Below are 24,412 nucleotides of genomic sequence, written 5' to 3' on the forward strand. Positions count from 1 at the left end.
AAAGGCATCTAAATTGAAAAGAAAGATGTAAAGCTATGGATATGCCTCAGATATTGTGGATTAAGTTCCAGACCACCACAATAAAGTGAGTCACATGAATTTTTTTGTTTCCTGGTACATATAAAAGTTAAGGTTACATTATACTGTAGTCTGTTAAGTGTGCAATAGCATTAGATCTTAAAAAAGTATATACTTTAATTTAAAAATACTTTATTGCTAAAAAATGCCAACAATCATCTGAGCCTTCAGCAAGACATAATCTTTTTGCTGGTGGAGGGTCTTGCCTTGATGTTGATGGCTGCTAACTGATCAGGATGATGGTTGCTGAAGGCTGGAGTGTCTGTGGCAATTTCTTAAAATAAGACAACAAGGAAGTTTGCCACATCAATTGACTCTTCCTTTCATGAAAGATTTTTCTATAGCAAGTAATGCTGTTTGTTGAAATATTACCCACAGTAGAACTTCTTTCAAAGTTGAAGCCAATCCTCTCAAACCCTGCCACTGCTTTTATCAACGAAGTTTACGGAATATTCTAAATCCTTTCTTGTCATTTCAACAACTTTCATAGCATCTTCGCCAGGCGTAGATTCCATCTCAAGGAACCAGTTTCTTTGCTCACCCATGAAAAGCAACTCCTCATCTCTTCAAGTTTTATCATGAGATTGCAGCAGTTTAGTCACATCTTCAAGCTCCATTTCTAATTCTAGTTCACTTGCTATTTCCACAACATCTGCAATTACTTCCTCCAGTGAAGTCTTGAACCCCTCAAAGTCATCCACGAGGGTTGGAATCAACCTCTTCCAAATTCCTGTTCATGTTGATATTTTGATCTCTTCCTGTGAGTCCTGAATGTTCTTAATGGCATCTAGGATGGTGAATTCTTTCCAGAAGGTTTTCAATTTACTTTACCCAGACCCATCCGAAGAATCACTATGTCAGCTATAGCCTTATGAAATGTATTTCTTAAATAATAAGAGTTAAAAGTTGAAATGACTCCTTGATCAGAATGGATGTTTTATTAGCAGGCCTGAAAACAACTTCTTCATCTTTTTATACATCTCCACCAGAACTCTTAGGTGACCAGGTGCATTGTCAATGGGCAGTAACATTTTGAAAGGAATCTTTTTTTCTGAGCAATAGGTCTCAACAGTGAGCTTAAAATATTCCATAAACCATGCTGTAAACCGATATGCTGTCATCCGGGCTTTGTTATTCCATTTCTAGAGCACAGGCAGAGTAGATTTAGCATCATTCTTAAGGGCTCTAGGATTTTTGGAATAGTCAATGAGCACTGGCTTCAACTTAAAGTCACCAGCTGCATTACCCCCTAACAAGAGAGTCAGCCTGTCCTTTGAAGTTTTGAAGCCAGGCCTTACTTTTCCCCTGTAGCTATGAAAGTCCTAGATGGCTTCTTCTTCAGATATAAGTCTTTTTTATCTACTTTGCACATTGAAAATCTGTGGTTGAGTGTAGCTACTTTCATCAATTCTCTTAGCTAGATCTTCGGGATAAGGCGTTGCAGCTTCTCTATCAGCACTTGTACTTTTATGTTGTGGAGATAAGTTATTTTCTCAAACCTCAAGAACCAACCTCTGCTAGCTTTCAGCTTTTCTCCGGCAGCCTCCTTCTCTCTCTCAGACTTCAAACAATTGAAGAGAATTAGGGCCTTGCTCTGGATTAGGCCTTGGTTTTAAGGAATGTTGTGGCTGGTTTGATCTGTACAGACTGCCAAAACTTTCTCCATATGAGCAATAGGGCTGTTTTGCTTTCTTATCATGTATGTGTTTACTGGAATAACTTTTAATTTTCTTCAAGAACTTTTCCTTTCTATTCCCAACTTGGCTAACTTTTTGGTGCAAGAGGTCTAGGTTTTCAACATGCTTTCCTCACTAAGATTAATTATTTCTAGCTTTTGATTTGAAGTGAGAGACTTGCAACCCTTCATTTCACTTGAACACTTACAGATCATTGTAGGGTTATTAACTGACCTAACTTCAATATTGTTACATCTCAAGGAATAAGGAGGCCCCAGGAGAGGGAGAGAGATGGAGGAATGGCTGGTCAGTGGAGCAGTCCGAACATGCACATTCATTGAGTTTGCTGTATTATATGGATCCAGTTTATGCCATCCCAAGCAATTAAAATAGCGTGAACCCCGAAAATCTGAGACAGGTCTCAGCAAATTTAGAAAGTTTATTTTGCCAGGGTTGAGGATGCATGACTGTGACACAGCCTCAGGAGGTCCTGACGACTTGTGCCCAAGGTGGTCAGAACACAGTTTGGTTTTATACGTTTCAGGCAGACGTGAGACATCATTCAACATATGTAAGATGAACATTGGCTCAGTCTGGAAAGGCGGGACAGCTCAAGCAGGGAGGACTTTCAGGTCCTAGGTAGATAAGAGACAAATGGTTGCATTCTTTTGAGTTTCTAATTAGCGTCTCCAAAGGTGGCAATCAGATATGCATTTATCTCAGTGAGCAGAGGGGTGACTTTGAATAGAATGAGAGGTAGGTTTGCCCTAAGCAGTTCTCAGCTTGACTTCTCCCTTTAGCTTAGTAATTTCAGTGCCCAAGATATTTTCCTTTCACAATAGTAACATCAAAGATCACTGATCACAGATCATCATAACAGATATAATAATAATGAAAAAGTTGGAAATACTGTGAGAATTACCAAAATATGACACAGAAACATGAAATAAGCACACACCGTTGGAAAAATGACACCAATAGACTTGCTTGATGTAGGGTTGCCACGAAAGTTAAATTTGTGAAAAACCTGCAGGATCTGCACAGTGCAATAAAGTGAAGTGCAATAAAACAAGGGATGCCTGTATCTCTATTTGCAGATGACTTGATCTTATATATAGGAAATCCTAAAAGAATCCATATACTCACATACACACAAGAGGTATTAAACAAATTCAGCAAAGTTGCAAGATACAAGATTAACAACAAAATCAATTATATTTCTCTTTTTCTCTGTACTGTATTAGCTGAAAAAAATCAATTGTATTTCTATGCACTATCAATTAACAATCTGAAAAAGAAATTAAGAAAATTATCTTTACAAGAGCATCCAAAAGGATAAAATACCTAGGAAAAAATTTAAGGTGATGAGAGATGAGTACTGAAAACTATAAAACATTGCTGAAAGAAATTAAAGAAGACTTGAATAAATGAAAAGACATCCTGTGTTCATGGAAGAGATTTAATCTTGTTAAAATGGCAATACTTTTCAAAGCAATCTACAGATACAATGCAATTTTTGTCAAAATTCCAATAGTGTTTTTTATTGCTACAGAAATGGAAAAGGAGATCTTCAAATTCATATGGATATGTAAAAGGCCCCAAATAGCTAAAACAATATTGAAAACGAGGAACAAAGTTGGAGGACTTGCACTTTCTGACTTCAAAACTTACTACAAAGATATAGTAATCAAAACAGCATGGTACTAGCAATAGGATAGACATATAGACCAAGGGAATAGAACTGAGAATCTAGAAATAAATTCAAATATCTATGGTCAATTGATTTTTTGATAACGGGGTCAAGACCATTCAATGGGGAAAGAGTAGTAGTCTCTTCAACAAATAGTATTTGGACAACTTGGTATTCACATGCAAAAGACTGAAGTTTGACACCTACCTCACACCGTGCACAAAAACAAACTCAAAATGAATCAACAACCTAAATATAAGAACTAAAACTTTTAGAAGAAAACATAGGGGTAAATCTTCATGACCTTGGATTTGGTAATGGATTCTTACACATGACATTAAGAGTACAGACAACAAAAGAAAAAACAGACAAATTGGGCTTCATTAAATTAAAACATTCATGCATCTAAGGACACTATCAAGAAGGTGAAAAGAGGCTGAGTATGATGGTTCATGCTTGTAGTTTCAGCACTTTGAGAGGCCGAGGTGGGAGGATTGCTTGAGCCCAGTTTGAGTTTGGACCAACCTGATGGAACCTTGTCTACAAAAAATACAAAAATTAGCCAGGTGTGGTGGCATGTGCCTATGGTCCCAGCTACTTGGGAGGCTGAGGTGTGAGGATCGCTTGAGCCTGGGAGGTTGAGGCTGCAGTGAGCCATGGTCATGCCACTACACTCCAGCCTGGATGACAGAGCAAGACCCTGTTTTGAAAAAAAAAAAAAGTGAAAAGACAATCCATAGAATGAGAGAAAATATTTGCAAATTATATATCTGATAAAGAATTGATATCTAGAATATATAAAGAACTTCTACAATTCAACAACAGCATCAACAAAACAAGCAACCCAATCTAAAAATGGGCAAAAGACTTACATAGACATTTCTCCAAAGTAGATATTACAAATGGCCAATAAGCACATGAAAAGATGTTTGACATCACTAGTCGTTAGGGAAATGCAAATGAAAACCACAATGAGATACAATTTCACACCTATTAGAATAGTTATTATTAAAAAAAACAAAAAATGGGGCCGGGTGCAGTAGCTCACACCTGTAATCCTAGCACTTTGGAAGGCCGAAGCGGGTGGATCAGTTGAGATCAGGAGTTCGAGACCAGCTTGGCCAACATGGTGAAACCTCATTTCTACTGAAAATACAAAAATTAGCCAGGTGTGTTGGTGGGCACCAGTAATCCCAGCTACCTGGGGGGCTGAGGCAGGAGAATCACTTGAACCTGGGAGGCAGAGGTTGCAGTGAGACTCAGATCATGCCACTGCACTCCAGCCTGGGCAACAGAGCAAGACTCCATCTCAAAAAACAAACAACAACAACAAATGGACACTAACAAGTGTCGGTGAAGATGTAGAGAAATTAGAACTGCATTGCTTGTGGGAGTGTAACAATGGTACAACTACTGTGGAAAACAGTTTGGCAGTTCCTAAGAAAGTTAAACATAGTATTCCACGATCTGGCAATTCCACTTCTGGGTATATACCCAAAAGATTGTAAAGTGGGGACTCAAACAGATACTTGTATTGTGCATACATGTTCATAGCCGCATTATTCACAATAGGCAAAAGGTGGAAGCAGCCTAAATGCCCATCAACAGATGAATAAACAAAATATGGTAGATGCATACAATGCTATATTATTCATCTTTAAAAAGGAATAGAATTCTATTTTTAAATCAGAAACCAACACATGCTAGAAATAGAATTCTGCATTCTATTCCACGTGCTACAACATGGAATGAACCTTGGAAACATTCCATGAAGTGAAAAAAGCCAGACACAAAGGGACAAATATTGTATGGTTTCACCCATATGAGATACCTAGAATAGGCAAATTCATACCATCAGAGAGTAGACTAGAGATTACCTAGGGTTGCGGGGAGAGGGGAATGAGAACTTATTGTTTATTGGGTACAGAGTTTCCATTTGGGATGATGAAATCCTTCTGGAAATGGTAGTAATAGTTGTACAATATTGTGAATGTGCTTAGTGCCACTGAATTGTACACCTTAAAATGGTTAAAAATGATAGTATCAACAAAATAGTTAAAAAGAAAATATCAATAAAGTCAAAGTTAGATCACAGAAAATAATTATAAAATAAAGAACTTTCTTCATGAGACGATCAAGATAAATAGAAGCCCTAAATTAGGAATTAAAAAGGGAAGTACAGATACGGTAGATATCAGAAGTCTAACAATTTTATGCCAATAAATTTGAAAACCTAGCTGAAATAGATAATTTTCTAAAAAAAATTATAAAACTGATTCTCAATAAGCAAAAACTTGAAATAAACATTATATATCCTTTAATGGCTATAAAGCATTGTCTTAGTTTAAAATTTCTACTGCCCAAAACAAACTAACCTGGACTATATGGTTTACCTGCATGGAAGGTATAATTATAAACATATAAAACTGTCCAGGCGCAGTGGCTCACACCTGTAATCCCAGCACTTTGGGAGGCCAATGCGGGCAGATCACGTGAGATCAGGAGTTCGAGATCAGCCTGGCCAACATGGTGAAACTCCATCTCTACTAAAAATACAAAAATTAGCCAGGCGTGGTGGCAGGTGCCTGTAATCCCAGCTACCTGGGAAGCTGAGGCAGGAGAGTTGCTTGAACCTGGGAGGCGGAGGTTGCAGTGTGCTGAGATTGTGCCACTGCACTCCAGCCTGGGTGACAGATTGAGACTCTGTCTCAAAAAAAACTATAAAAAAGGTGAAAAGTCAATGTGATAAGTCGGTGTGGGAGAAGATATTTGTAACACATATAACAGGCAAAGCATTAGGATTCAAAATGTATAAAGATGTCTTCCTGATCAATAAGAAAAAGACAAAACAATCCAGCAGAAAATTTGGCAAAAGATTAGAAACAGGCAATTCATAATTTAAACATATAAAAATGCCCAACTTTATTAATAGAGAAATGAAAATTTAAAAATAGGATACTATTTCATATTTGTCACATTGATGAAGTCTGATAGTCAAAGTGTTAGCAAAGATGTAGAACAAGAGGAACATTGCTGATATTAAAGTAGATTGGTTCAATAACTTCAGAAAACAATTTGCCAATATATAGTGAAGTTAAGATGTTCATATCCTACAACGCAGTAATTCCACTCCTAGGTATATATCTGAGAGATACTTTAGACATGTGTACAATAAAACATACAAGAATTGTTGTGAGATATCTTAAAAATGTAAATTAGTTCAGATCACTTCCTTCCTCAAAATCCTCTGAGGCTGAGATTAAAATTCAAAGTCCTCACCAGGCCTACAAGGCATGACAGTTTGCTTGTCTAACCACCTCTGCTGCTCTGCTCTCTCTCTCTCTGTTCTAGCCATGCTGACTTTGCTGTTCCTTGAACAGCCTCTTTTTCTCCCTGGGGCTCTTGGACTCACCATTTCTTCACTTCCTCAAAGTGTTCCCCCAGTTTTTATTTTGTCTCAATTCCTGGCTTCAGCGAGACCTCTGTCGACCACCTTTTCTTTCCCTCCCTCCCTACCTCCCTCCCTTCCTTCCTTTCTTTCTTCCTTCCTCTCTGCCTCCTTTCTTTCTTTCCTTCCTCCCTCCCTTCCTTCATCCCTCTCTCTCTCTTTTTCCTTCCTTCCTTCCTTCCAATACATATTAGATGTACATATTTTGGGCTACTTGATACATTCATATAATCAAATCAGGATAATTGCCTTAAATATTTATCTTTTTCTTGTGCTAGGAACATTTGAATTATTCTCTTCTAGTTATCTTGAAATGCACAATAGATTGATGTTAACTATAGTCACTTCACTGATCTATTGAACATTAGGTCTTATTTCTTCTCGGTGTGTATTTGTAACCATTAACCAACCTCTCTTCATCCCCTGCCCTTCCTGGCCTCTGGTAACCACTAGTCTACTCTCTATCTTCATGAGATCCACTTTTTTAGCTCCCACATATGAGTGAGAACATGTGATATTTGTCCTTCTGTGTTTGGTTGCTTCCATCTTTTCTAAAATAGCTGCTAGGACTTCCTCTTCTCCTCCAACCTGGCGAGTCCCTTTATCTTCTTTGGCTGGTTTATTTTCCTTCCTGCCTGACATTATATTCTATATACATTTGTTCCAGCATTTATTTCTGTCTCTCCTACTAGACTGTAAGCTTCCCGGGGGCTGGACGTTTTCTGCCTTACTCATTGTTGCATTTCCCGGTGCCTAAAATGATGTTTGCTTGTTACAGGGTGGGTGCTCAGTCACAGCTCTTCCAGTGAATGAATGGATTTGCATGATAGTCAAGATAAGTCCATTTTGATGGGAAGGAAACACTTAGATGACACAAAGAGTACTTCTTGGTAAAAACAAAGCCATTAGAGTTGTAGATGCATGAAAAGAATTTGAAGAAGATTCGTTCATAAAGTGTAAAAGAATATTCTTCAGAAACAGATTGAATATGTATGATTAAGTTAATAGATTAAACATAAGTAGATATCTGAGTATTTCATCTATATTCCTAAAAGTTTGTATATTCATGTTGGTCAGAAAACTCTTGGGACCTTCCCTTGGGAAACCTTATATTCAGGTTGAGTTGCAGTATGCTAGAGCTTATACAGTCATTCTGTCTGCCAGGCAGTCATTCCCAAGTACCCAGGGTCAGACCCAGCCCCAGGTGTAGGGCCACGGGGTAGGGAGGACAGAGAAGGGGAAGGGAATCAGGCACACTGAGCGTGTGCTGTGTGCCAGAAACTCTGCCTGGGTTTCTCTCTCATGTGGGTGACTTAGGAGCACCCCTTCCGGGGCTCACGCAGGGAGCAGGCCAGAGCTCTAGGGCTGTGCAGCTCGATCTGACTTCTCCAACCCTTGCTACCCCTGTAGTTCTCGGAGATCTTCTTTGTGTCCATCTGCACATCTGAGTTGTCCATGAAGGTCTATGTGGACCCCATCAACTACTGGAAGAACGGCTACAACCTGCTGGATGTGATCATTATCATCGTTATGTTTTTACCCTATGCCCTCCGCCAGCTCATGGGCAAACAGTTCACTTACCTGTATATCGCTGATGGCATGCAGTCCCTGCGCATCCTCAAGCTTATCGGCTATAGCCAGGGCATCCGGGTGAGTGCACTGGGGGTGTCATGGTGCTGGGAGGGCAGGCCGTAGGCCCATTTGCCCCCAAGACACTAAGGAAATAATGACTCTACTACCATCTTCCAGTTGTTGAGTCCAACGTGTGTGGCAGGTTGATCTTTACCAATATTATCTCATTTAATCTTAAAACAATTCTAAGAATGGTATTATTAGCTCCATTTTACAGATGAAGAAATTGAAGCCCAAGGTCACCCAGCGGTGCAATGTCAGAGCTGAGATTTGAAAGGCGTGCCTGACTCCAGAGGCCACGTCTGAACTTTTCCTCTCTCTCATGCTGCAAAGTGCCTGATTTTCTTATGCTATGCATCCTTTGAACTACATGCCCAGGACGCCTTGGCTTTTTGGTGGCCCAGGCCACTAGCTGCTTTCCCCAAACAGCTGAGTCTGCTCTCTTGCTGGAAATAGTCTCTGTGCTTCGTTAAGGTGGCTCTGGAAGGGCTACTCCTGCTGAGAAGTCTTTCTGGGTTGCTGAAAACCATGACCAACACTCCCTTGACTCAGAGGCTTCAGAAAGAACCTCAGGGCTGCCCCCCTGCCTTGAATCGTGCCCTCAGGCACTTGTCCTGTGCACCGTAGGTTCACCTAGCTCTGCACCCAGTGTCCATCCTTCTCCAGGTGGGGGCTGGTCTGGGTTCCCGTGTTCAGTCGGGGTGTGTCGTCCTGTCCTGCCGGAGGCTGCCCCTCGCCTGGGCTTGGGTGGCTGGCCGTCTAGGGCCTGGCCCCACACTCTGGGAGCCCCAGGCCTGGGTAGAAAAGAGAAGGGGAACGTTAGAGGTCTCCCCTGCTGCATACACACCTTTGTTTGTTTCTTGCTGTCATGTAAACAAACGCCTGCCTGTGTGTGTCCCCTCTCAAACAACGCAGTCCAGCCCTCCCTCTCCTTCTCTTCATGGCGAACCTTCTGGGGAAAGGTGTCTGTACTTCCAGTCCCACTTCCCTGTCCGTCATTTATGCCCTAGCTGTTTTCCCTACACTCCAGAATATCTAGCCTCTCTGAAGTTGCCAGCAGCCTCCTTGTCTCCAAATCCAGTGGCCAGTTCCCTTGGCATCCTTGTCACTGCTTTCTCTTGGTTTTCCTCCAGCCTGACTTCTCAGGAGCGTTTATCCTTTGCCTGGCTCATACACGCTGTTTTCTCGGGATGGTCCCTGAGTTCTCCTCCTCTGCTCCCTCTGCACATTCTCTCTGGGTGATCTTTTCCACTTTCCAGGACCCTCCACCTGCCTACCCCTCTCTCTTTGACCTTTAGACCCAGCTGCCCTCTGGGCATCTCACAGGCTTCTCAAATTTGATGTGTCTAAACTGAAGTTGTCACTCACCCCCATCCCCAACCTCAAATCCCAAACCCTGGCTTCCCCTCCAGTATTTCTTTTTTTTGTTGTTTTTTTAAAAATTATTCTTTAAGTTCTAGGGTACACGTGCACAACGTGCAGGTTTGTTACATATGTATACATGTGCCATGTTGGTGTGCTGCACCCATTAACTTGTCATTTACATTAGGTATATCTCCTAATACTATCCCTCCCCGCCACCCCTCCATGACAGGCCCCGGTGTGTGATGTTCCCCTTCCTGGGTCTAAGTGTTCTCATTGTTCAGTTCCCACCTATAAGTGAGAATATGCAGTGTTTGGTTTTCTGTCCTTGTGATAGTTTGCTGAGAATGATCATTTCCATCTTCATCCATGTCCCTACAAACGACATGAACTCATCCTTTTTTATGGCTGCATAGTATTCCGTGGTGTATATGTGCCACATTTTCTTAATCCAGCCTATCATTGATGGGCATTCGGGTTGGTTCCAAGTCTTTGCTATTGTGAATAGTGCCACAATAAACATACATGTGCATGTGTCTTTATAGCAGCATGATTTATAATCCTTTGGGTATATACCCAGTAATGGGATGGCTGGGTCAAATGGTATTTCTAGTTATAGATCCTTGAGGAATCGCCACACTGTCTTCCACAATGGTTGAACTAGTTTACAGTCCCACCAACAGTGTAAAAGTGTTCCTATTTCTCCACATCCTCTCCAGCACCTGTTGTTTCCTGACTTTTTAATAATCGCCATTCTAACTGGTATGAGATGGTATCTCATTGTGGTTTTGATTTGCATTTCTCTGATGGCCAGTGATGATGAGCATTTTTTCATGTATCTGTTGGCTGTGTAAATGTCTTCTTTTGAGAGTGTCTGTTCATATCCTTTGCCCACTTTTTGATGGGGTTGTTTGATTTTTTCTTGTAAATTTAAGTTCTTTGAGATTCTGGATATTAGCCCTTTGTCAGATGGGTAGATTGCAAAAATTTTCTCCCATTCTGTAGGTTGCCTGTTCACTCTGACGGTGGTTTCTTTTGCTGTGCAGAAGCTCTTTAGTTTCATTAGATCCCATTAGTCAATTTTGGCTTTTGTTGCCCTTGCTTTTGGTGTTTTAGACATGAAGTCCTTGCCATGCCTATGTCCTGAATGGTATTGCCTAGGTTTTCTTCTAGTGTTTTTATGGTTTTAGGTCTAGCATTTAAGTCTTTAATCCATCTTGAATTAATTTTTGTATAAGGTGTAAGGAAGGGATCCAGTTTCAGCTTTCTACATATGGCTAGCCAGTTTTCCCAGCACCATTTATTAAATAGGGAATCCTTTCCCCATTGCTTGTTTTTCTCAGGTTTGTCAAAGATCAGATGGTTGTAGTTGTGTGGTATTATTTCTGAGGGCTCTGTTTTGTTCCATTGGTCTATATCTCTGTTTTGGTACCAGTACCATGCTGTTTTGGTTACTGCAGCCTTGTAGTTTGAAGTCAGGTAGCATGATGCCTCCAGCTTTGTTCTTTTGGCTTAGGATTGTCTTGGCAATGCGGGCTCTTTTTTGGTTCCATATGAACTTTAAAGTAGTTTTTTCCAATTCTCTGAAGAAAGTCATTGGTAGCTTGATGGGGATGGCATTGAATCTATAAATTACCTTGGGCAGTATGGCCATTTTCACGATATTGATTCTTCCTATCCATGAGCATGGAACATTCTTCCATTTGTTTGTATCCTCTTTTATTTCACTGGGCAGTGGTTTGTAGTTCTCCTTGAAGAAGTCCTTCACATCCCTTGTAAGTTGGATTTCTAGGTATTTATTCTCTTTGAAGCAATTGTGAATGGGAGTTCACTCATTATTTGGCTCTCTGTTTGTGTGTTATTGGTGTATAGGAATGCTTGTGATTTTTGCACATTGATTTTGTATCCTGAGACTTTGCTGAAGTTGCTTATCAGCTCAAGGAGATTTTGGGCTGAGACGATGGGGTTTTCTAAATATACAATCATGTCATCTGCAAACAGGGACAATTTGACTTCCTCTTTTCCTAATTGAATACTCTGTATTTCTTTCTCCTGCCTGATTGCCCTGGCCAGAACTTCCAACACTATGTTGAATAGGAGTGGTGAGAGAGGGCATCCCTGTCTTGTGCCAGTTTTCAAAGGGAATGCTTCCAGTTTTTGCGCATTCAGTATGGTATCGGCTGTGGATTTGTCATAAATAGCTCTTATTATTTTGAGATACGTCCCATCAGTACCTAATTTATTGAGAGTTTTTAGCATGAAGGGCTGTTGAATTTTGTCAAAGGCCTTTTCTACATCTGTTGAGATAATCACGTGGTTTTTGTCTTTGGTTCTGTTTATATGATGGATTACGTTTATTGATTTGCATATGTTGCGTCCCATAGGATGCAGCCTTGCATCCCAGGGATGAAGCCCACTTGATCATGGTGGATAAGCTTTTTGATGTGCTGCTGGATTCGGTTTGCCAGTATTTTATTGAGGATTTTTGCATTGATGTTCATCAGGGATATTGGTCTAAAATTCTCTTTTTTTGTTGTGTCTTTGCCAGGCTTTGGTATCAGGATGATGTTGGCCTCATAAAATGAGTTAGGGAGGATTCCCTCTTTTTCTATCAATTGGAATAGTTTCAGAAGGAATGGTACCAGCTCCTCCTTGTACCTCTGGTAGAATTTGGCTGTGAATCCATCTGGTCCTGGAGTTTTTTTGGTTGGTAGGCTATTAATTACTGCCTCAATTTCAGAGCCTGTTATTGGTCTATTCAGGGATTCAACTTCTTCCTGGTTTAGTCTTGGGAGGGTGTAGGTGTCCAGGAATTTATCCATTTCTTCTAGATTTTCTAGTTTATTTGTGTAGAGGTGTTCATAGTATTATCGGATGGTAGTTTGTATTTCTGTGGGATTGGTGGTGATAACCCCTTTATCATTTTTTATTGTGTCTATTTGATTCTTCTCTCTTTTCTTCTTTATTAGTCTTGCTAGTGGTCTATCAATTTTGTTGATCTTTTCAAAAAACCAGCTCCTGGATTCATTGATTTTTTTGAAGGGTTTCTTTTTGTCTCTCTATCTCCTTCAGTTCTTATCTGATCTTAGTTATTTCTTGCCTTCTGCTAGCTTTTGAATGTGTTTGCTCTTGCTTCTCTAGTTTTTTTAATTGTGATGTTAGGGTGTCAATTTTAGATCTTTCCTGCTTTCTCTTGTGGGCATTTAGAGCTATAAATTTCCCTGTACACACTGCTTTAAATGTGTCCCAGAGATTCTGGTATGCTGTGTCTTTGTTCTCCTTGTTTTCAAAGAACATCTTTATTTCTGCATTCATTTCGTTATGTAGTCATTCAGGAGCAGGTTATGTAGTCATTCAGGAGCAGGTTGTTCAGTTTCCATGTAGTTGAGCGGTTTTGAGTGAGTTTCTTAATCCTGAGTTCTAGTTTGATTGCACTGTGGTCTGAGAGACAGTTTGTTATAATTTCTGTTCTTTTACATTTGCTGAGGAGTGCTTTACTTCCAACTGTGTGGTCAATTTTGGAATAAGTGCGATGTGTTGCTGAGAAGAATGTATATTCTGTTGATTTTTGGTGGAGAGTTCTATAGATGTCTATTAGATCTGCTTGGCGCAGAGCTGAGTTCAATTCCTGGATATCCTTGTTAACTTTCTGTCTCATTGATCTGTCTAATATTGACAGTGGGGTGTTAAATATTGACAGTGGGGTGTTAAAGTCTCCCATTATTATTGTGTGGGAGTCTAAGTCTCTTTGTAGGTCTCTAAGGACTTGCTTTATGAATCTGGGTGCTCCTGTATTGGGTGCATATATATTTAGGATAGTTAGCTCTTCATGTTGAATTGATCCCTTTACCATTATGTAATGGCCTTCTTTGTCTCTTTTGATCTTTGTTGGTTTAAAGTCTGTTTTATCAGAGACTAGGATTGCAACCCCTGCCTTTTTTTGTTTTCCATTTGCTTGGTAGATTTTCCTCCATCCCTTTATTTTGAGCCTATGTGTGTCTCTGCACGTGAGATGGGTCTCCTGAATACAGCACACTGATGGGTCTTGACTCTTTATCCAATTTGCCAGTCTGTGTCTTTTAATTGGAGCATTGAGCCCATTTACATTTAAGGTTAATATTGTTATGTGTGAATTTGATCCTGTCATTATGATGTTAGCTGGTTATTTTGCTCGTTAGTTGATGCAGTTTCTTCCTAGCCTTGATGGTCTTTACAATTTGGCATGTTTTTGCAGTGGCTGTTACTGGTTGTTCCTTTCCATGTTTAGTGCTTCCTTCAGGAGCTCTTTTAGGGGAGGCCTGGTGGTGACAAAATCTCTCAGCATTTGCTTGTCTGTAAAGTATTTTATTTCTCCTTCACTTATGAAGCTTAGTTTGGCTGGATATGAAATTCTGGGTTGAAAATTCTTTTCTTTCAGAATGTTGAATATTGGCCCCCACTCTCTTCTGGCTTGTAGAATTTCTGCCGAGAGATCAGCTGTTAGTCTGATGGGCTTCCCTTTGTGGGTAACCCGACCTTTCTCTCTGGCTGCCCTTAACATTTTTTCCTTCATTTCAACTTTGGTGAATCTGACAATTATGAGTCTTGGAGTTGCTCTTCTCGAGGAGTATCTTTGTGGTGTTCTCTGTATTTCCTGAATTTGAGTGTTGGCCTGCCTTGCTAGGTTGGGGAAGTTCCCCTGGATAATATCCTGCAGAGTGTTTTCCAACTTGGTTCCATTCTCCCTGTCACTTTCAGGTACACCAATCAGACATAGGTTTGGTCTTTTCACATAGTCCCATATTTCTTGGAGGCTTTGTTCGTTTTACTCTTTTTTCTCTAAACTTCTCGCTTCATTTCATTCATTTGATCTTCAATCACTGATACCCTTTCTTCCAGTTGATTGAATCGGCTACTGAAGCTTGTGCATGCATCGCGTAGTTCTCGTACCATGGTTTTCAGCTCCGTCAGGTCATTTAAGGCCTTCTCTACACTGGTTATTCTAGTTAGCCATTTGTCTAATCTTTTTTCAAGGTTTTTAGCTTCTTTGTGATGGGTTCGAACATCCTCCTTTAGCTTGGAGAAGTTTGATCGTCTGAAGCCTTCTTCTCTCAACTCATCAAAGTCATTCTCCATCCAGCTTTGTTCCATTGCTGGTGAGGAGCTGCGTTCCTTTGGAGGGGGACAGGTGCTCTGATTTTTAGAATTTTCAGTTTTTCTGCTCTGGTTTCTCCCCATCTTTGTGGTTTTATCTACCTTTGGTCTTTGATGATGGTGACTTACAGATGGGGTTTTGGTGTGGATGTCCTTTCTGTTTGTTAGTTTTCCTTCTAACAGTCAGGACCCTCAGCTGCAGATCTGTTGGAGTTTGCTGGAGGTCCACTCCAGACCCTGTTTGCCTGGGTATCAGCAGTGGAGGCTGCAAAACAGCGAATATTGCATAACAGCAAAGGTTGCTGCCTGATTGTTTCTCTGGAAGCTTCATCTCAGAGGGGCACCCGGCCATGTGAGGTGTCAGTCTGCCCCTACTTGGGGGTGCTTCCCAGTTAGGCTACTCGGGGATCAGGGACCCACTTGAGGAGGCAGTCTGTCCATTCTGAGATCTCAAACTCCGTGCTGGGAGAACCACTGCTCTCTTCAAAGCTGTCAGACAGGGAAATTTAAGTCTGCAGAAGTTTCTGCTGCCTTTTGTTCAGCTATGCCCTGCCCTCAGAGGTGGAGTCTACAGAGGCAGGCAGGCCTCCTTGAGCTGCTGTGGGCTCCACTCAGTTTGAGCTTCCCAGCCGCTTTGTTTACCTACTCAAGCCTCAGCAATGGCAGGCGCCCATCCCGCAGCCTCGCTGCTGCCTTGCAGTTCAATCTCAGACTGCTGTGCTAGCAATAAGCAAGTCTCCGTGAGCATGGGACCCTCTTAGCCAGGTGCGGGATATTAATCTCCTGGTGTGCCATTTGCTAAGACTGTTGGAAAAGTGCAGTATTAGGTGGGAGTGACCCGATTTTCCAGGCGCCGTCTGTCACAGCTTCCCTTGGCTAGCAAAGGGAATTTCCTGATTCCTTGTGCTTCCTGGGTGAGGCGATGCCTCGCCCTGCTTCGGCTCTCACTCAGTGGGCTCCACCCACTGTCCTGCACCCGCTGTCCGACAAGCCCCAGTGAGATGAACTCAGTACCTCAGTTGGAAATGCAGAAATTACCCATCTTCTGCGTCACTCACACTGGGAGCTATAGACTGGAGTTGTTCTTATTCAGCCATCATCTCCTCCAGTATTTCGTCTTTTGGTAAAGAGGGGTCCCCCACCCGCATTCAGTTGCCAAGTCATAAATTTGACTGTCAGCTTAGACTCCTCTCTCAAGCTTTGTTGTGTGGCCTCCTCAGTGGTTATTGACTTGTCCACATCTCTTCATTCCTGTCACCATCAGCCTCACCTGGATTCCTGCATTGGCGTCCCACACTACTGGGAGCCCTGGAACAGAAATGCCCGTGTGGGGTGGGGAGGATCTTGAAAGTGCACATCCAATCATAGCATCCTAGGTTTCAAGCCTGAGGGTGGCTCCCCATTTTCAGGCTACAGACAGACCTTGCAGTGTGTCCTAAGAGGAAGGGAGTATGTAAGGTGCTGGGCACTGGAGTCAGCAGGGATGAGAGGAAGGCAGGTGGACGGGAAAGAAGACTGGAGGCCCGAGGTGTTCATGGTCAGATGGGCACCCCAGAGTGAGGGCGGGATCTGGCAGTGGGAAGTGTAATCTGGTTTTTCCAGGTGTTGGGCACCAAGGGAGCAGGGGCCAGGAGTGGCACCAGGGTCACTAGAGAGGGAAGTCCAGGGGTGAAGAGGCCTGGCATCTTCCATAAAGATGTGGAAGGTCCCCAGGCTGACAGCAGGGTTGCCTGGAGAAGGAGGTACTGAGTCTGGAGGCAGAGACTTCAAGACATGAGGGAGAGGGGGAAGCTGGAAGGTTGGCCCTGCCCAAAAGCAGGGTCTGTGCCTGTGAAAACAGGGGATCCCAGGATAAGGTAGATGGTGGCCCCCTGAATCTGAGGGCTGTCGGGGATAGGCAGCCTTCTTGGAGAGGGGAACTGGGTTGTGATGTCCTCTGCTGAGAGAGGACTTTCAGGTGAGGCCAGGAGAGAGGAACTGTGGAATGAGGGTGCCAGAGACCAGTGGGAATCATGCGAGGAACAGGGCGGAGGGCAGGGGGCTGAGGAAAAGGAGACCCAGGACCACACAGGGAGGAGGGAAGCAAAAAGGACTGGTGGCAGGGAGGGCTTCCATCTTGGAAGAAAGGGGCATTGACCCAGACTGGCACCTCAAGGCTGGGGGCACTTGCTGCTGGCTTAGTGCACCGTCTTGGCTGTATTGTGGCAGCCTGATTAGAAGGCAAAGGCTCCTGCTGGCCAAGGGCTGTATCCCAGAGCAAGCCGGCCTGCTTGGGGACTGCTCAGCCTTTGGCCCTTGCAGGCATGCACAGAGACCCTGGGCATGCAGAGGCAACAGGCACACACGCATGCACCACAGGTTTGGCCTCATGGTTTTTCTGTCATTAAGCAGGGCCTTGCATCCTAGAGTGATTCCCTGGGGATCACCAGCCACCCTGAGCTGTGGCTCTCCTGTAGCCTTGGGATGTCATGGGACCCTAGATCCCCAGAGGCACAGAAGTGACCCTGGATAACATGCCCTCTGAATGTTGGCTGGCCTGCTGGCCATGGGGAGCTGGACCTGCCCATGGTCGGGACTTGTACCTCTGGGCTAATTTCTATTAATTGAAGTCTAAAGGAATCCTTAAATAAAGAGCTACAATCTCAGAGCCCAGAGATGGCGCTCTGGCGCATTCTTGGCTCCTGACCCCTGATTAATTAAAATGACACTCTGCCTTCTACCTATGACAATGAACCTGCACCATGAGGAAATGCTGTTTTGCACAGAGATGCACAAATGTTCATCAGCATTTCAGCCGGAAGCAACCTTCAGATGCTGGGCTGTGATGTGAGCATTAGTCCCCCTTCCTCCCTGCCTCCTCCTCCTGGGGCCAGATCATCTTCCACACATCCAATGGGCTGTGTAGGAGGGGTCCCTCCAAGCACTGGGCCTGGGCACCTGCCTTGCCTGGAGCTCCTTTCCACATCCAGAATGCCCCAGGGCTGTGGCTTGATCCAGAGCCCGGGAGAGCTGAACTGGGTACAGGGAATTGCCCCCCCAAAAGAATTTGGGAATTCAAAATCACACATCCAATGGGGGCCAGACCATGGGCCTCAAAACTTAGAACTTCCTCAGGAGGGAGCTACTGGCCTAAGGGGAACTGGGCAACCCTCTCCTAGGACTGGATTTCCGCACCTTTCTGGACTGCACCCTAAGAGGGCCTGCGTGGATTGTGCTTAAAGAACTTGGCCAACTCTAGCTGTCATGGGTCCTTTATGGGGCTCCCAGGAGAGCGTGTCTGTTCCTCCACTGCTGCTCTAAAGGTTGCTCAGCTTGGACCTCAGGTGGCACCAGCTTGTGGGCTGGCCTGGAGGTGGGAGGCCCAACCAGGCCTCTCCGCAACCCTTCTGCACAGGCTTTGGATTCTACCACCCAGTGTTCCTCCCTTCCCACTCAAAACCTGATCTGCAGACCATATCTCATCACAGCTTTTCTCATGAGGATTTACTGCTTTCATCTTAGTCCTTGGGAAAGAAGTTCTGCCTCTGTTTAGTTGGGAGGAAGGCATTAAGAAAAAAAAAATATCGGCTGGGCGCCGTGGCTCACACCTGTAATCCCAGCACTTTGGGAGGCCAAGGTGGGTGGATCACGAGGTCGGGAGATCGAGACCATCCTGGCTAACACGTGAAACCTCATCTCTACTAAAAATACAAAAAAAAATTAGCCGGGCGCAGTGGCGGGCACCTGTAGTCCCAGCTACTTGGGAGGCTGAGGCAGGAGAATGGCATGAACCCGGGAGGCAGAGCTTGCAGTGAGCCGAGATTGCGCCACTGCACTCCAGCCTGGGTGACAGAGCGACTCCGTCTCGAAAAAAAAAAAAAATAATAATAATAATAATAATAAAATCTCAGCTGTTTTGCAATTAATCCAAAAACATTTATTTTCTTTTCCCAAGGAGAGATGGGAGGCATCTGGTGTGCATTCACCCCTGCAGGCAGCGCCAAACCGTTCCGCATGGAGGGCAGCCCAGGGCTCTTGGACTGCCTCTGTTTCCCAGGTTACCCCAAACTGTCCAAACTGTACTGCCTTGTTTCTTAGCTCTAAGGACCTCCTTTCCTAGTACTAAGCCAGTAAACAGTCTCTGTGCTCAGGGTCATTAGTGGTTGAAGGTGGTGGCATGGGGCAAAGGCTTTGAGAGTTGGTCCCAGCTCTGCCATTGTATTGGAGTGTGACCCTGGCCAAGACAATTTGCTTCTTTGAGCCTCTGACGGCTCATTTTGAAGTGGGAAGAATGATAACACCTACCTACCTTGAGGTTATGTCTGTGAAACGTCTAGGTAGGTGAACATGCATTGAGTGACTACTGCATGCAAGACTCCAGAGCAGGAAGAATGAATGATAAGGAGTCATACACGGTGCTCCCCAGAAATGGGCAATGTAGCGGGGAGATAAGACAAATGCCCACTTCATACGGGGCAAGACTGAGGTTACAAGACAGGGACCTACCTGTGAAGACGGGGTCGACAAGGACCAGGGAGCCACATTCCTCTCGGCCTTCTGTATACTCACTCCCAGAGTCGTTCCCCTACTCCTCCTGGGCCCGGGGCAGAGAGCATTCAGGGCTGGCCCTCAGCTGAGAAGCAAAAGCAGGACGCCCTGAGATGACCACACAGCCAGGTTGGGGTTCAAGTGGAGTGGTCACCTCAGACCTGAGAGAATTGACTGAGGGTGGATGTCAGACACTGGTAAAGCACTGTTAAATTGATCCAGCCCTCAATCTGGGCACAGTTCTGATTCACTTCATTAATTCGTTAGTTTATTCAACCAACCAACCAACCCACCCACCCACCCTTATTGAGCATCTACCTTGTGCCAGGCATGGCAACAGTTGCTGGGGACAGCTGTGAACTGGGCAGAATGGACCTCTGTCCCTGGAGCCCACCCAGCTTGGTGGTACCCTCGCCTACCACAGTGTCCCTGCCTTGCAGACGCTGATCACCGCCGTGGGGCAGACAGTCTACACCGTGGCCTCTGTGCTCCTCCTGCTCTTCCTCCTCATGTACATCTTCGCTATCTTGGGCTTCTGCCTGTTTGGATCTCCAGACAATGGTGACCATGATAACTGGGGGAACCTGGCTGCAGCTTTTTTCACCCTCTTCAGCTTGGCCACGGTACTGTGTTTGGGAACAGTGGTGAGGGCAGGGGCCTTAGGAAGGGACAGCCTAGGTGGTGCAAGCGTGTGGACATGTGGGGCCTCACATGGGGCTTTCCTCATGTCCAGGTACTCATCTGGGCCTAGGGAAGCTGGGGTCTGTTCCCCATCACAAGCCAGCACCCTGCACGGGGCTCCATCGCTGTCTCTAGGCCTGTGATTCCTTATAGTGCTTCCACATGTCTCACAGGGTGATCAAACTTTGCAGAGTCCTCAAATGATAATTCATTTGGATTAAGTTTAATTTATAAATGAAACCCATGTCATATAGCCTTTGGGGAATTGGCTGTCACAAATCCACCTAGAAGAAGCATGCAAAACCCAAATCTAGAAATCTAGATTCTGTTGGACTCTGGAAAGAGTGGGGTCTTTTTAAAGGTGGGCCTGGCAGAGAGGCAGTGTCTTTCTGGGAAGGTTGGGAGGCCTTGAGAAAAGAGACCTCGAGGCATGTTGGTCAATAGCATCCCCACCCAGGGGTGCTCTGCATTCCCAGGCCATCACGTATGTGCTGGAGCCAGTGGACTGGGAGGTGTTGAGGGGATGACGTGGAAGCGGAGCCACCCTTCTCCTCAGTGGGCCTGGGACTCCTCTAGCATAGGTGAAAAGGAGGCCTGTGCCACTGGGTCTGGGCCCTCAGCATACTCTTCCCTGCCTGAGCAGGTTGATGGCTGGACAGACCTGCAGAAGCAGTTGGACAATCGGGAATTTGCTTTGAGCCGGGCATTCACCATCATCTTCATCTTGCTCGCCTCTTTCATCTTCCTCAACATGTTCGTGGGTGTGATGATCATGCACACAGAGGTGAGGCCACACCTGTGAGGATCGGAGGTCAGGGCAGGTGTGGCAGATGGAGCTGTAGGGCAAGTCTCCAGGGAGGACCTGGAGCTGTGTAGCTGTGTCTTCCCAATGAAGTGGAGTAGAGGTGGCCAGATGGACCTGTCCCTCACCCGGCCCAACTCTCCTCCCTGAGCCAGTGCATTTGCCTTGCCTGCTGATGGTGGTCAACAGGACGGTGGGGCTTAAGAAGCCTCTGCAGCTACAGTTGGCAGCTTGAGTGGCGGCTGGCCCTGTGTGGGGAAAAGTGCTCCTGCTGAGGGCCTGAGCAGCGGTGCAAGACTGGGGAAGAGGAAAGACTGGGTCTGGGCATGTAGCGAGAGCCTGTAGTTGACCTCCATCGTCTGACTCTCTAGGACTCCATCAGAAAGTTTGAGCGAGAGCTGATGTTGGAGCAGCAGGAGATGCTCATGGGAGAGAAGCAGGTGATTCTGCAGCGGCAGCAGGAGGAGATCAGCAGGCTGATGCACATACAGGTGAGTGGCCCCTGCAGGCAGGTGGACAGATGGGTGGATGGATCGTCAGGCTGATGAGATGGCCAGGAGGAGGGGCCGTGGTGCCTGTGTAGAGAGCAGGTGGCCTCAGGCATCTGCAGCCTTAGGTAAGACAGCTGCCTTCCTCCAATGTTTTATAGAATCAGCCTTTATTCTCGGCATTTTTGTGTTTCTCTGGACCTCTCGGAGTGTTGAGTACTGTGATTATAATGTCTCCCTCTGTTGTGGGCAGAACTCCACTGCTGGGCCCTTTGGGGCCAGGCAATCTGTGCTGAGGCTTCTTCTTGGGGACTCACTGGATGCCAGGCAGCCATGGCCCCAGGCCACTGAGTGGACGAGGATGCAGAGGCTCTGACAGAGTGCCAGACAACCTTGGTTCTCTCACATTCCTAAACCCAGAACAAGAATGGGCAAACCAGGCTGGAGATTTTCTGTCAAGCATGATGCAACCATGAGGGACCCGGGTGAATTTTCCCCCTGAGCCTGAGTGCTCTAAGCCTCCCATGCTGAGCTTTGGGTGCTCTGCTGGGCCTCCCTCCCTTGGTGGGTGTGTCTCTCCTTGTCCTCTTCTCTGGGGTGGAGACATGTGCCTGTCTTCACCGTGCCCAAGGTTCGTCCAGGGTTGGGAGAGCCTGCGCTGAGCCTCAGTTGGACTTCATGTGCTGCCTGTCCTCAATGGTGGCCGCCTCACCCCGGAGTCCAGGTTCAGAAGGGGTCAGGATGAAGTTGTGACAAGGCTGAAGCTTCCTTCCAGGACCAGGGTCAGGCCGCTGCCTGGGGCCCATCCTGGAGAGTCTCCATGTCTCTGTGCAGCTCGGCTGTCACCTCCTCATCACTGCTCTCTCGTTATGCTTTCCTCTCTAGAAAAATGCTGACTGCACAAGTTTCAGTGAGCTGGTGGAGAACTTTAAGAAGACCTTGAGCCACACTGACCCAATGGTCTTGGATGATTTTGGCACTAGCTTACCCTTCATCGATATCTACTTTTCCACTCTGGACTACCAGGACACAACTGTCCACAAGTCAGTTCCAGCCCCAGCCTTCCCTGGTCCCTAGGGCTTCCTCGAGGTTGGGCTGTGTCAGGTGCCCTGGGAGAGTGAAGGGGGTGATGACTGAAGTGCTGATGGGCAGTGGGTGGGTGGAACATGGCTTTCTTGGGGTTACAGGATTCCATATATACACAGGGGCTGGGCTGCTGTGTGGACGGGCCATGGCTGGGGGGAATCTGCCCCTCCTGCCCCTCCCCAACCCACCTTGACTTGTATGTAAATGCCAGCTCCTTGAAGTCTCCAGGCCTCTCCTCACTAACCCCTTTTCAGAGTGCAGAGGAAAGACCACTGGGTAGCCTCAGCTTCTGGCCTGGTTGTGCCACTACCTTCCTGTGTGGCCTTGGGCAATTCTCTGCCCCTTTCCCATCTGTCACATGAGGGGCTACTGGGCTGATTCAATGAAAACAGTATATGTGAAGCTCTGAGTGTGGCCTGGCCCAGGGCTTGTGCTCAGTGTGAGTCAGCTGGGATTATGAGCAGCCATTACTGAGCAGGAAGGATGTAAAAACCTGGCTGTGGGCATCAGGAGCTACGGTGGGCTGTGGGCACTAGGGAGCTACAGTGGACTCTTCAGTGAGGACAGATATAATTAGCCTGGCTTCTCAATGAAAGCTGCTTGGAGGGCTTTAGAGATGGGAGAAACCAAAAAGGAAGGCATTGTTGGGGAATGCCCACTTTTGGCCCAGCAGGGGTCAGTCACTCTCTGGGCACCTCCACACAGTTACTTCTCTCAGGACCTAAGAATTTATTTCCACCTGACACATGAAGTAAAATACTTTGCTCCAGGGGGCCCCAGGCAGAGTGGCAGATCCAAGATTCCAACCCAGCCTCATCTGGCTCTGAAGTCCTTGCTCTTCTTTGACCCTACACCTGTGCAGGTGCAAACGTGTGGTCAGTGGGGCCAGGGGGTCCTGGAGCCTGCCTCTGACCTCAGATCTTATCTCCTCCTGCTCCATTTTTCAGGCTTCAAGAGCTGTACTATGAGATCGTGCATGTGCTGAGCCTAATGCTGGAAGACTTGCCCCAGGAGAAGCCCCAGTCCTTGGAAAAGGTGGATGAGAAGTAGCTGGGCATGGGGCACCCATGTGCCGAGAGCCTTGCAGACCATGACAGGTCCCTATTAAACACAGGCTTTCTGAGTTGTCCTCTCCAGAGTTGCTGTGATTATGGCATTTCCCCACCTTTTAGAGTTGGGCCTGGACAGGTGCTCATGAAGTGTGATTCCCCAGAGCCAACTCCCCGTCCCCCACCACAGGACATGCAGACCTAGGGAATGGGGAGAGGGAAGCTCAAGACTTGTCCTGGCCAGAGGCCAGATCCAGGGCCCATGCTGGCTCTAGGCTCCCTGGACCTAGCAGCAAGGACCTGGGGAAGCTGCCTGAGGACCACAGACCAAGAGGGCCTCCAGCTACCCCCCAAAGCACATGGCCCCCTTGAGCTGGTGTGGCCCTGTTGATCTGGGTGTGGGTGTTCTCATACTGACAGAGTCACATCTCTCTCTGTGGGCCCACTGCTGCAGAGACCCTTCTTTGGAAGGCTACTCTGAGTTCCCCTAGGCTCAGCCTAAGGGGTGCTGCTAGGACTGGCAGGATTCTGTCGTGTGGGCCTGGAGCTCAATCTGGGGGAGTGGCCTGCTGGCAATGCCAGGGCACCTTGCACAGAGCCCAGGGCAGGTGGCATCATCAGCACTGTGGGCTGCTGCCTCATATGGTTAGGTAGGACTCTTCACTTAAAAGGTGGCATTTTCTCTGTCATTCCTAGCCAAATGACTACCAGGGCCATCAAGGTCCTGGCACCACTCTGGCTTAGCCATGATGGAACCATC

The 24,412-nt window shown here is 45.7% G+C and overlaps 1 protein-coding gene across 1 annotated transcript in view, besides 1 other annotated feature; it reads left to right on the plus strand.

Moving 5' to 3' along the window:
* CATSPER3 (cation channel sperm associated 3) overlaps positions 1-23,726 on the plus strand; it is a 43,790-nt gene extending 20,064 nt beyond the window's left edge. Inside the window, exons 3-8 of the mRNA NM_178019.3 lie at positions 8,303-8,542; positions 19,987-20,169; positions 20,871-21,011; positions 21,401-21,520; positions 22,403-22,560; positions 23,551-23,726. Of these exons, the coding sequence (NP_821138.1) occupies positions 8,303-8,542; positions 19,987-20,169; positions 20,871-21,011; positions 21,401-21,520; positions 22,403-22,560; positions 23,551-23,653 (945 nt within the window). The 3' untranslated portion in view covers positions 23,654-23,726. The remainder of the gene's footprint in view (positions 1-8,302; positions 8,543-19,986; positions 20,170-20,870; positions 21,012-21,400; positions 21,521-22,402; positions 22,561-23,550) is intronic.
* Positions 2,191-2,755: an enhancer, noted in NCBI's record as "OCT4-NANOG hESC enhancer chr5:134325851-134326415 (GRCh37/hg19 assembly coordinates)". NCBI's record gives its function as "activates a minimal SCP1, AML or CMV promoter by ChIP-STARR-seq in naive and primed H9 embryonic stem cells {active_cell/tissue: H9 hESC(naive and primed)}" and the evidence as "EXISTENCE:reporter gene assay evidence [ECO:0000049][PMID:30033119]".
* Positions 23,727-24,412: the final 686 nt, after the last annotated feature.

This window comes from Homo sapiens, chromosome 5 (genome assembly GCF_000001405.40).
Source record: "Homo sapiens chromosome 5, GRCh38.p14 Primary Assembly".
Taxonomy (NCBI): Eukaryota; Metazoa; Chordata; class Mammalia; order Primates; family Hominidae; genus Homo; species Homo sapiens.